The 12,555-nt window shown below is 41.0% G+C and overlaps 1 protein-coding gene across 1 annotated transcript in view, besides 2 other annotated features; it reads left to right on the plus strand.

The window, feature by feature from the left end:
• FRAS1 (Fraser extracellular matrix complex subunit 1) overlaps nucleotides 1-12,555 on the plus strand; it is a 486,947-nt gene that overhangs the window by 469,767 nt on the left and 4,625 nt on the right. Inside the window, exons 71-73 of the mRNA NM_025074.7 lie at nucleotides 7,360-7,526; nucleotides 9,906-10,111; nucleotides 12,205-12,351. Of these exons, the coding sequence (NP_079350.5) occupies nucleotides 7,360-7,526; nucleotides 9,906-10,111; nucleotides 12,205-12,351 (520 nt within the window). The remainder of the gene's footprint in view (nucleotides 1-7,359; nucleotides 7,527-9,905; nucleotides 10,112-12,204; nucleotides 12,352-12,555) is intronic.
• Nucleotides 1,886-2,180: a silencer, noted in NCBI's record as "tiled region #14158; HepG2 Repressive non-DNase unmatched - State 15:Elon". NCBI's record gives its function as "represses a minimal TATA promoter and a strong SV40 promoter by Sharpr-MPRA in HepG2 cells {active_cell/tissue: HepG2}" and the evidence as "EXISTENCE:reporter gene assay evidence [ECO:0000049][PMID:27701403]".
• Nucleotides 6,888-8,087: an enhancer, noted in NCBI's record as "CDK7 strongly-dependent group 2 enhancer chr4:79455131-79456330 (GRCh37/hg19 assembly coordinates)". NCBI's record gives its function as "activates an origin of replication core promoter dependent on BRD2, BRD4, P300/CBP, MED14 and CDK7 cofactors, with strong dependence on CDK7, by STARR-seq in HCT116 cells {active_cell/tissue: HCT116}" and the evidence as "EXISTENCE:reporter gene assay evidence [ECO:0000049][PMID:35650434]".

Below are 12,555 nucleotides of genomic sequence, written 5' to 3' on the forward strand. Positions count from 1 at the left end.
TACACAGAAACAGACATAAAACAAGGTTATATGTTAATTGGTTGATATAAATGTTGTGAACAGAGGCTCATAGGAATCTAACCCTGTATTTCTTCTAGTAGCTGTGGCTCAATATCCACTAATTCATTATTTGTGGAGACTTTATAGAGCATAACAATTGTGAATAATGAGACTCAACCATACATGAGCCCATATTCACCTCAGACCTGAGACTGTATTGTGCTGTATATTCATTCATTCATTCATTCATTCATTCATATTTATTCAGCTCTTCTCATGTGTTTTGCTCAGGTCAAGGCATTGAGGTGATAGCACTACACTAGAGCAGAGGATTAAAAGTAATCCGTGCTCTCAGGCAGTTTATAGTCTAGGGTCACCTTTCTAGGAGCTGAGCAAAGTATATAGAAAACATTGCTGAGATAAAATGCCCAAGACAGAATCTGACATTAACATTAAGAGAAGACTATTTGAAATGTGGCTTTTAAATAAAAGACTGAGAATTGGCTATTGGATTCGTCAATACTGAGGTCATTGGTGAACTCTGCCAAGAGCAGGTTTGGTGGACTAAAGGGGATACAAGCCTGATTGGGGTGAGCTTGAGAGAGAGGCGAGAAAGTAGAGACAGCAGGGATAAACAGTGCTTGAGGAGTTGCTATAGAGGATGCCAGAGCAAAGGGGCAATAACTGGAAACAGATGAGGAGTCAAATAAACAGCAGGTTTTATTTGCTTTATTTCAGGATGCTTGTATGCTGGTGGGAATAATCCAATCGAGGGGAAAGTTGATGATGCAGGGGATAGAGGGAAAGCTTGCAGAGCCAGATATTTGAGCGGGGCAAGGGAGTAGATCCAGGGCATGAGGGAAGGGCTGGCCATAGCTGGAAGCACAGAGAGTTCATCCACTGAAGAGGCAGGCAGTGAATCAATGGAAGCAGGTGAAAGGAGAATTGGGACACTAGGAGGATAAGGATGACAAAGTGGATATCTGATTGAAGCTATTCTCGCTGTGAAATGAAAAGCCCTACATTTGCTGAAAGTGAAGAATGTCGAGGTTTGAGAAGAGAGGAGGAAAGAAACAGGGCCATCTCAGACAGTGGAAAAGAGTAAATATACTAGAGGGTTACAGCTAGCAGCAGATCAGGCGGTGTGGAACTGCTTTTAAATTGTCATATTATTGACATAAAATTGTACATATTTAAACTGTACAATTCGATAAATTTTTACCTATGTATACACTTGTGAAACATCACCACAGTCAAGATAGAGACAAGATAGGGAACATATCCATTTCCAAAAAGATTCCTCGTGTGCCTTTGTAGTTCCTCCTTCACATCATCCATTCCCTTTCTGCAGATAACCACAGATCTGTTTTCTGCCACTATGGATAAGTTTTCTTTTTTTAGAGTGTTTTATAAATGACATCATACAATGTGAATTCTCTCTCTCTGGCTCATCGCACTCCGCATGATGATTTTGATTCATCTGTGTTGGGTGTATCAGTATTTGTTCCTGTTATTTCTGGGTTGGACTTCATGGTATGGATTTACTACAGTTTGTTTATCAGTGATCAACTGATGAACATTTCAGTTGTTTCCAGTTTGGGGCTATGATAAATAAAGCTTCTATGAACCTACATGTACGAGCTTTATATAAACATGTGTTTTCTGTTTTCTTATGTAAATACCTAAAAATGGAGTGACTGGATCATATGACAGATGTATGTTTAACTTTTTAAGAAACTGCCAAACTGTCTTCCAGCATGTTTGTAAATATGTAACTATGTATGTCCATTCCCACCATGAGAGTGCACGCGCTCCCTTTCCCGTGCATTCTGCTAATGTGGTTGGGAGGTCCTGGTGTGGCTGAGTAATTAAGAAGTGGGAGGAAAAGAAGAGAGGAGCTGGAAAGACATGAGGTGGTAGAGAGCGAGGTGCTGGAAATGAGATTTTTGGTGATGGTGCATAATGGGCCTATGAAGAGTAGGTAGCTGTAGCAGGGTGGTGAACAAGCTGTTTGGAGGTGAGGGAGTCAAGGAACTGGGAGTCTGGGGTAGTTGATAGTTCATCTGAATGGATGTTTAAGTCACAAAGATTCATGGCAGGAACAATGCCAGGAAGCACCATAGTTAGCCGAATGAAGGAAGGAAGGTGACCAGGAAAATGGTAGTTGGCTGCAGTAAGGAAGAACAATGGGAAAATAATCTGATGGGATATGCTGGGGAATTTTAATTCATTTAAATGTTTAAAAATTATGTAATATTTCAGATATTCTGAAGACTATATATATATCATATAGCAGATCTACCACCCACCTTAAGAAACTCAAGAAACAGAACATTACCAGTACTCCTTCAATACCCTCAGTGCCCCTCTCCAATCATACTCCCTCTCTCTTCCCCACTAGGGTCACCACTAACCTGATATTTGTATTTATTATTCATTGTTTTGGTTTATGGTTATACCTCATGTATACTTCTACATGGTTTTGCAAGTTTTTGAACTCTAGACAGTAGTCCCCCCTTATCCTTGGAGTAAATGTTCCAAGAGCCCCAGTGGGTGCCTGAAACCACACATAATACCAAACCCTATATGTACAATGTTTTTTCAATCTGCCAACCAAGACAGCTACTAAGTGACTAACAAATGGGTAGCATATACAATGTGGAGATGCTGAACAAAGGGACGATTCCTGTTCCAGGCAGGATGGAGCAGAAAGGCACAAGATTTCATCATGCTAGTAAAAATGGTATATGATTTAAAACTTATGAATTGTTTATTTCTGGAATTTTTTGTTTAATATTTTTGGACTATGGTAGGTCTTAGGTAACTGAAACAGAGAAAAGCAAACCCATGAATGAGGGGGGAACCACTGTATATAAGTTTCATACTGCATGAATTATCTCTGCTACTCTTTTTTTTAACTCAGTGAATCATTTGTTGATTCATTTGTGTTGATTCATGTAGCTGTAGTTTGTTGCTCACTGCATTAAGGAATTCATTGTAGGAAAATTCCACAATGTATTTGACCACTCCCTTTGGCTTTCTCTCTATTACAAAGAAAATTCTTATATATATCTCGGTGCACATGTGTAAGTAGAGTTTCTCCAGGGTAGGTTCTGGATTTTTTAAGGGGAGAGAGGAACGACGGTTTGAAACTGGCTAAAAGGATCAAGGAGGACACCAACACTGTCCTCAGGCCCTGTGTGGCATAAATGTGGGAAGTGGCAGAGGAAGAATGTTGCTGAGGATACTGAGGCTTCAGAGTTGGGGGTCCTTGCTTTACATCAGGGAGATTATTACTTGCAGATGCCCCATTATTCCCAGGGTGACTCCCCCAGGCTTAACCTTGGATCCCCTATATAGCTCCATGTGGATGCGATAGAACTACAACACACATACAAAATCAAGACTGATACAGGGAATTTGGACTTAATACAAGCAATGGGGAAAGGATTCTTTATTTAATAAATAGCATTGGGAAAAGTGGCTAGCCAAATGCAGAAAACTGAAACTGGACTCCATTGCTTGTTTTTATCAGGTTTTTCAAAGATCAGATGGTTGTAGATGTGTGGCGTGATTACTGAGGCCTCTGTTCTGTTCCATTGGTCTATATATCTCTTTTGGTACAAGTACCATGCTGTTTTGGTTACTGTAGCCTTGTAGTATAGTTTGAAGTCAGGTAGCATGATGCCTTCAGCTTTGTTCTTTTTGCTTAGGATTGTCTTGGGTATACGGGTTCTTTTATGGTTACACATGAAATTTAAAGTAGTTTTTTCTAATTCTGTGAAGAAAGTCCGTTTGTAGCTTGATGGGAATAGCATTGAATATCTAAATTACTTTGGGCAGTATGGCCATTTTCACAATATTGATTCTTCCTATCCGTGAGCATGGAATGTTTTTCATTTGTTTGTGTCCTTTCTTATTTCCTTGAGCAGTGGTTTGTAGTTCTCCTTAAAGAGGTCCTTCACATCCCTTGTAAGTTGGATTCCTAGGTATTTTATTCTCTTAGTAGAAATTGTGAATGGGAGTTCACTCATGATTTGGCTCTCTGTTTGTCTGTTACTGTTGTATAGGAATGCTTGTGATTTTTGCACATTGATTATTTATCCTGAGACTTTGCTGAAGTTGCTTATCAGCTTAAGGAGATTTGGTGCTGAGACAATGGGGTTTTCTAAATATACAATCATGTCATCTGCAAACAGAGGCAATTTGACTTCCTCTCTTCCTATTTGAGTACCCTTTATTTCTTTCCCTTGCCTGCTTGCCCTGGCCAGAACTTCCAATACTACGTTGAATAGGAGTGGTGAGAGAGGGCATCCTTGTCTTGTGCAGGTTTTCAAAGGGAATGCTTCCAGCTTTTGCCCATTCAGTATCATATTGGCTATGGGTTTGTCATAAATAGCTCTTATTATTTTGAGATATGTCCCATCAATACCTAGTTTATGGAGAGTTTTTAGCATAAAGGGCTGTTGTATTTTATCGTAGGCCTTTTCTTCCTCTCGCCTATTTTATTCCTTCCCACAAACTTGCTGCTTCTCCCCTGTTGTCACCTTCACCTGGTGACCTTTCTGTCCTGTTGGAGTGAGGAAACAGAAGAAATCAGAAGAGAACTTATGCAAGCTTCTATCATCATACCTACATCTGTGCATTAGACCTACCAGCATGTATCTGTGCATGTACCCCATATGGCCCACAAAGTTTAAAATATTTACTATCTGGCTGTTCACAGAAAAGCTTTGTCAATCTCTCTGTTCTAGGTGCTTACACCCAAATCTTAACAATATCATTGAGATTTCTCTTATTCTGGCACTGTCATCAAGGATTTTAGGCCTCTCCTTTAAAATATATTAAAAATCCAATTATTTTCACTGCCCACCTGGCAAAAGCCCTGGTCAGAACCATTATCATCACTTGTCTAAATTATTGAAATAGCCTGTTAACAAAGTCCCCTGCAGCCACCCTGTAGTTTCTTCTTAACACAGCAAACCCCTCACTTTTTCAAAACACTCCACAGTTTAAATAAACCCTAAAGTCCTGACAGTACAGGTAAGGCTAAATGGGATCTGGTCCCAAGTTACCTCTGTGATCTTATCTCCCTCACTGTTCTCCAGCCACCCTGGCTGACTGGTCATTCCTCTAATGTATTGCACACACTCTTACCCCAGACCTTTTTGCCTTTGCCATTTCCTCTTCCTGGAGGGCTTCCTCTCCACATAGCCGCATGTCTTACTCCATTGCCTGCTTCAAGCCTTTGCATGTTTTCCTCTCACTGAGGCCTTCCATGACTGAGTTTCTTCCTTTCTCTCTCTTTATGGTATATATTTAAGGTGTAAAACATTATGGTTTGATACACATAGTGAAATGATTACTAAAGTCAAACAAATTAACATACCCATCTCCTCACTTAGTTACCTGCATTCACACGTGTGTGTGTATGATAAGAGTACCTGAAATCTACTCTCTTAGGAAATGTCCAGTACATAATATTATTGCAACTTTGCACCTTTTGACTTATATTTCCCCATATCCCCCTCCTCGTCGCTCCTGGTAACCACTGTTCTCTTTGTTTCTGTGTATCCAGCTTTTGGAGTTTTTTGTTCCCACCCGAATCAGCTTTTTATGATTCCATATATAAGTGAAATTGTGCAGTATTTTTCTGTGTCTGGCTAATTTCACATAGTATAATGTCTTTCAGGTTCATCCATGTGGTCACGAATGGCAGGATCTCCTTATTTTTTTAAGACTGACTATTTAATTGTGTGTATATATACACCACATTTTCTTTATTGATTAATCCATTGATGGACACTGGTTGTTTACAAATCTTAACTATTGTGAATAATGTTACAATGAACCTAGGAGTGGAGATGTCTCTACAAGATGGTGATTTCCCCTTGTTTGGGTATATACCAGGAATAGGGATTGCTGGGTCATGTAATAGTTCTATTTTTAATTTTTTGAGGATGATCCATACTGTTTTACATAATGGCTGCACCAATTTACACCCATGACCATATTATTTAGAATTTCCAGTTGAACCTCCTTCTAGCATTACCCTTTCTCTGCCTAATTGTTCTCCTTATCACCTGTTACCTTTTAGCATGCTATATTATTTTTTATTTATTTTGCTTACTATTTCCTTAGAACGTAACTTCCCTGAGATCATGTTTTTCTGTTTCGTCCACAGATGAATTCCTATTACTAGAATGATGTCTACTGTATAATATATGCTCAGTGAATATTTGCTGAATAAATGAGCCCTGGGGCACTAGAGATCATGGAGTAGAGAGCTGGTCCAGAGACTGAAAGAAGGCCAGTCTGGCTAGATCCCAGAAATGGAGGGAAGGGGAAGAGTAGCTGGAGATGAGGCTGTAGAAATAGGCAGAGGCCAGAGCTTTACCGGTCATGGCAAAAATATTGCTCTTCCTTCTAAGGGATATGGGAAACCACTGAAGGATATTAAGCAAATTTGAGTTTTTGAAAATGACACTGGCTCATGCGTTGCATGATAGATGTAGAATAGCCTAGACAGAACTAATAGTGACTCCAGGGAGAACACTTAAGGTGCTGGCACCTCTTTTTTTGCCTTTCACTGAGATAATAACACTAGAAGGAAGAGCAAGTTTGCAAGGGAAGAGCATACTGAGTTTGGGTTATCTGACAGCCATGTAGAGCTACCATTTGACAGCCAGATATGTGTTTCGGAGCTTAGAGGAGAAATCTGGATTAGATAGTTAAATTTGGCATTACTACCTTTGAGATAGCAAATGCACTCAGTGACAAGGCTGAGATCATCTTGGGTGAAGTTATTGAGGGAGAACAATAAGGGTCCCAGAACTGAGCCTTGGGAGCGCTTATCTGCCAGAAGGAGACACGGAAGGAAGGGGCTCAGGAAGAAGGCTGGGGAGGTAGGCACACAGAGCAAGGCAAGAGAGTATCGCCTAGCAAGTCCTGAAAGTGGGACATGCGATAAATAAAGTTTTGATCAGGTTGAAAGAGTCAAAGCCTCAGAGCATGCAGCTCTGGGAAGAAATCTAGCTGGACTCCAAAGCGGGGAGCACTTTAGAAGTCAAAGGGCAATTTTGGGAGCCCCCAGAGTGAAAGGGCCAAAAAAAGCAAAGAATACCAAAGAGCCTAAAGAGTAATTAATTATTTTTTAAGACTAATTATTTCTGTTCAAAAGAAATAACTACCAAATAAAGTCCTTTTACCTTACACATCCCTTTATTCAGTGAATATTTAGTGCCCACAACAAAGCTCTGTGTACAATCCTGTGGAGGGTGGGGAAGGGAGGGTGACTCAAATGACATATGCAAAGCTGACCCTGCTCTCAAAGAGCTCTTTGTTTCTCCTTGCATTTAGATTCCTGATACCCATTGCATTCCAGCAGACCAACCGCCCTGTGCCAGTTGTGTATTCACTTAACACTGAATTTCAGCTCTGCAATAATGAGAAGGTGTTCCTAATGGATCCCAATACATCTGATATGTCACTAGCAGAAATGGATTACAAAGGAGCCTTTTCAAAAGGTGAGTTGCTTCCTCCACCTGCAGAAAGAGGCTCTGCCTGGATATGAGAAGCTTTTGCTAAGTCACCGGACTGGCATCTCTGCTCATATGCTCTCAGTCACCACCCCAGTAAAGATCCCCCAGGGTTGGTTCCAGGACAGCCAGGACTGAATCTAGGTACAGGCCCATTTCATGCTGTTTCGAAATCAAATCACACACTTGGCACTATAATGATTGGCAGTGTGATGCCATGGGAAAGCACTGGTCTGAGTAGTAAGAATACTGGCATTTCCGACCAGATTCTAGCACATTGTCTAACTCTGGGTCAGTTATTTCCTCAAATCCCATTGCCTCCCAGTCTCAAAACGATGCCAAACATGTGTGTTCTCCATCATGCTTTCTCTGCTGAAAATGGCTCACTTCACGGTCACTTCTCTATCCGTTTACCACAGGCTGGATTCTATCCTATCTTTCTCTTGTCGATGACACCAAATTGATGTATTCTGGCACTTTTTTCCTGTTGGGTTTCCTTTGCATCAGCCTCACCCGACACCATCTTGCCTCTCAGATGACTCCTTCTCACTCTCCTGTCCCTGGCCTCCATCCTCTGCCCCTTCCGTGTTAGTGTCCCCAGATTCCATGCTTGGCTCAGTCTATTCCTACTCTGAGTGCTGCCTCTGGTCATCCCCATGGCTTGGGCCATCCCTTTACTCTGAACTTCTTACACTCCTACTGTTCTGCGGCCATTCCATAGGATTTGACCTCATCCTGGATCTCTCCGAGCCTCATTTCTATGTTTCCACATGCAGATATGAAACTACTGAAGCTCTCCAAGCAGCATGTCTTTCAGACACCTAGAGATGCCCAAGTCTGGACTTGTCTCCTTCCAAGCATGCTCCTCCCACATCTGCTACCCTGCTGACTGCGTCACCATCCTCTATGTGCCCCAACCAAAAATCTCAGGGTTATCCTCAACTTCCCCTTCCTACATCCTACGTCCCATCTATCATTAAGATGAGTGGAGTCTGACTCCTAGACATTTCTTGAGTTCATCCTCTTGCCTCACAGCTATATTTTAGGTGCCTATCTCTCACTAGAGGATTAAAATAGCCCCTACCAGGTCTCTGTGACTTAAGTCTCTTTGTCCTTGACCCATTTGCCATGTTTCTAAGGCCCAAGTGTGTTACTACCTTTCCGCTTAAAACCCTCCAGTGTTTCTTATTACTTATATATTCAAGTCCAGCCTCCTCAGCACGGTTTGTCTATGTCCCCAGGAGCCTCTCCTGCCAGAGCTTCTACACACCCTCCACTCTTGTCACACTGACTTACTTAGCACCACATAGTAAATGTTTGGGATGAGCATTTGGAATTAGCCAGATTTGTGCTAATTCCAAAATCCTCCTCCCACTGCATCATTGCTGTGGAACCTTGGATAAGTTACTTAAAAATGGGAATAATAATTGAAGCTATCTTTTGGGCTCTTGGGAGGATTAAGTAAGTTAGTTGCATGTAAAGAGCTTGGTGCCATAGCCGACACATAGGAAACGGCCTACACCAGGGCTTACATCCTTGAAGCATTCAGTATTTTGTACATGGATTTTTTTTTTTTTTTTTTTTTGCCTAGAGTGTTCTCTCCTGCCTCTCACTCCCACCCCAAATGCACTGTCTGACAAATGCCTACTTGTGTTTCAGGATACTGCTCAAATATCATGTCTCTTGAAACCTTCCATACCATTCCCTAGGCAGATTTCTGTACCTGGTTTCATGCTCTCTTAACATGACATACCTTCCTCTATTGTGGAATGTAACAGTATAGCATTTGGGTGATTAATAAAGTATTGTGGTGGTTTGGTTTGAGAGCATAGTACCTTGACTTGGAATCCCACCCTCACCGTTTGCTTGCTTTGTGACCTTCAGCAAATCACTTAGCCCCACTCAGTGCCTCAGGTTTCTCATCTGCAAAATTGTGAGCACTCCATGAGTTATTACATGAGAGGACTTGGTACAGTACCTGGAAAATAGTATGAGTTTGATAAATATGAGCCTATTTTAGTCAATCACTGTGAGTTTGTTTCCATCCTCTCAACTGCATCTCACACACCTTGGTATCCCCTGTGCATAACAGAATACTTTGCTTCCCTTAAATGCTTAATTAATGCTTATTGAAAAAAAGAAGGCATAAATGTTCCCTAGCAAGAAAACTCAGAGAAAAAAAGAAAATAAGAATAAAAACGAAGCAATAAATGAATGAGTATTTTAGGGGCACATGGAATCATGGAGCTCTTCATAGAAAAGTGCTTTTCACTCTTAAGGGAGCATGTTTAACCCCTTTCAACCCTTGACATTTGTTTTTCTTTCATCTTAAAGTCTGACCTAATTAATACCTTTCAATCTTTTCAGGTCAAATCCTTTATGGCCGAGTACTTTGGAATCCAGAACAAAATCTTAATTCTGCTTACAAACTCCAGCTGGAGAAAGTCTATCTTTGTACGGGCAAGGATGGTTATGTGCCTTTCTTTGATCCCACGGGGACAATCTACAATGAAGGGCCCCAGTATGGATGCATTCAGCCAAACAAACACCTAAAACACAGATTCCTGCTGTTGGTATGCTAAGTTCTCACTATTAGTGTTAAAGAGCAGACACTTGAGCAGATTTCCTCAGCTATGACTTCTGCCTAAAGTAGATAGAGCTCACTCTTGATATTTTCTTCTCTATATATGTTTGTGTTGTTGTTTCTTTCAGATCAGCTAAATACTAGTACATAGGTGGTAGTTACGATGAGTAACAAGACAAACTTCCATTGATGTCCTCAGAAAAGGAAACTCTCGGCCAATGTTTCTCAGAGTATGGTTCAGAGACCTGGAGTGTCCCCATACTCTTTCAGGGAGTCTACAGAGTCAAAATTACTTTCAAAATAATATGATGATGACTCTTTTTTTCATACTTATTCCCTCATGAGTTTAGAGAGTTTAAAAAGTTTATCAATAAAATTTCAGATTCCACATTGTAATGAATCTTTAAAAAATAACCACTCACCAAGTTTTGATTTAGTATCAAAAAAGAGGCAGGGCGTGGTGGCTCATGCCTGTAATCCCAACATTTTGGGACACTGAGGTGGGAGAATCACTTAAGCTTAGGAGTTTGAGACAAGCCTGAGAAACATAAGGAGACCCCATATCTACAAAAAAATATTTGAAAATTAGCTGGGCTTGGTGGCATGCACTTGTAGTCACAGCTACTTGGGAGGCTGAGGTGAGAAAATCACTTGAGACTGGGAGGTCAAGGATGCAGTGAGCCAAGATTGCACCACTGCACTCCAGCCTGGGCAACAGAGCAAGACCCTATCTCAAAAAAAAAAAAGAAAAAAAAAAGCCATAATTGTTTGAAAAAGCTATTAACTACATAGCTTTATGAGGCCAGATTTTCTTCATACACTTTAGACAAAACAGCATATCACAACTGATGGAATTCAGAAGCAGTTATGAGAATCCAGTTTTTTCCCTGAGATTACAAAAATGTAAAACATTGCCAGCTCTCTTTATTGAGGAAGGGAATGAATTTAGGTATTTTCACTAAAAAATATCTTACTTAAGTTAACATGTAATGAGTTTCTTATTGTCAGTTTAAAATGAATTAATAAGTAAACACTTAAAATTTTTTCAGGTTTAATTTTTAACCGAGTAAATGTCGATAGATATAAGTCACATAAACAAAAACTCTCTGGGGTCCTTGATTTGTAAGTGTGTAAAGGGTCCTGAGACCAAATAACTTGAGAAGTATTGGGCTAGAATATCCCACTTTTTGCATTTTGAGATCACAAAAGCCACCACATGTCCTTTTGAAAAGGACAGTGGGTTCCCAGAGTTAGTGTATTAGTCTGTTCTCATGTTGCTAATGACATGCCTGTAACTGGGTAATTTATAAAGGAAAGAGGTTTCATTGACTTACAGTTCAGCATGGCTGGGGAGGCCTCTTACAATCATAGCAGAAGGGGAAGCAAATACATCCTTCTTCACATAGGGGCAGCAAGAAGTGCCGAGCAGAGGGGAAAAAGCCTCTTAAAAAACCATCAGAGGTCCGGGCGCGGTGGCTCAAGCCTGTAATCCCAGCACTTTGGGAGGCCGAGGTGGGCGGATCACGAGGTCAGGAGATTGAGACCATCCTAGCTAACACAGTGAAACTCTGTCTTTACTAAAAATACAAAAAAATTAGCCTGGTGTGGTGGCAGGCTCCTGTAGTCCCAGCTACTCCGGAGGCTGAGGCAGGAGAATGGCATGAACCCAGGAGGTGGAGCCAGCAGTGAGCTGAGATCGCGCCACTGCACTCCAGCCTGGGCGACAGAGCAAGACTCCATCTAAAAAAAAAAAAAAAAAAAATCAGATCTCATGAGAACCCACTCACTATCACAAGAACATCATAGAGGTAACTGTCACCGTGATTCAATTACTTCCTATTGGGTCCCTCCCATGACACATGGGGATTATGGGAACTGTAATTCAAGATAAGATTTGGTGGGGACACAGCCAAACCATATCAGGCAGCCACTGACTTATGGAGAGGGCTTCACAGCACATACTCTCTCAACTCAACCTAAAGCCAGGAGTGATGAGTACTTTTCTCCTCCCAGTCACTGCCACCTACCAATATAGTGGAACCATCTTTCTAAATCTTGCATTTCTTTTTTCTGAAATCCTAGGACCGCAATCAGCCAGAGGTAACTGATAAGTACTTCCATGATGTGCCTTTTGAGGCTCACTTTGCCTCTGAGTTGCCTGATTTCCATGTGGTCAGTAACATGCCAGGTGTGGATGGATTTACTCTAAAAGTAGATGCACTCTATAAGGTGAGTTTGGTGAGAAGAACAGAAGCTTAAGACCAAGTCTACTTTAAAGCTTGAAAAAAAAAAAAAAAAGAAGGAGGACTGCAACATCTCTGGATTCTTCAACATTCTGCCATTCTTGCTGGCAGATCTTTTCTTATTGTTAAGCTTATCACCCACCCAAAATTTTCACATGTATCCCCAGTAGACCAAAACAATTATACAATT

The sequence above is a fragment of the Homo sapiens genome, chromosome 4, assembly GCF_000001405.40.
Source record: "Homo sapiens chromosome 4, GRCh38.p14 Primary Assembly".
Taxonomy (NCBI): Eukaryota; Metazoa; Chordata; class Mammalia; order Primates; family Hominidae; genus Homo; species Homo sapiens.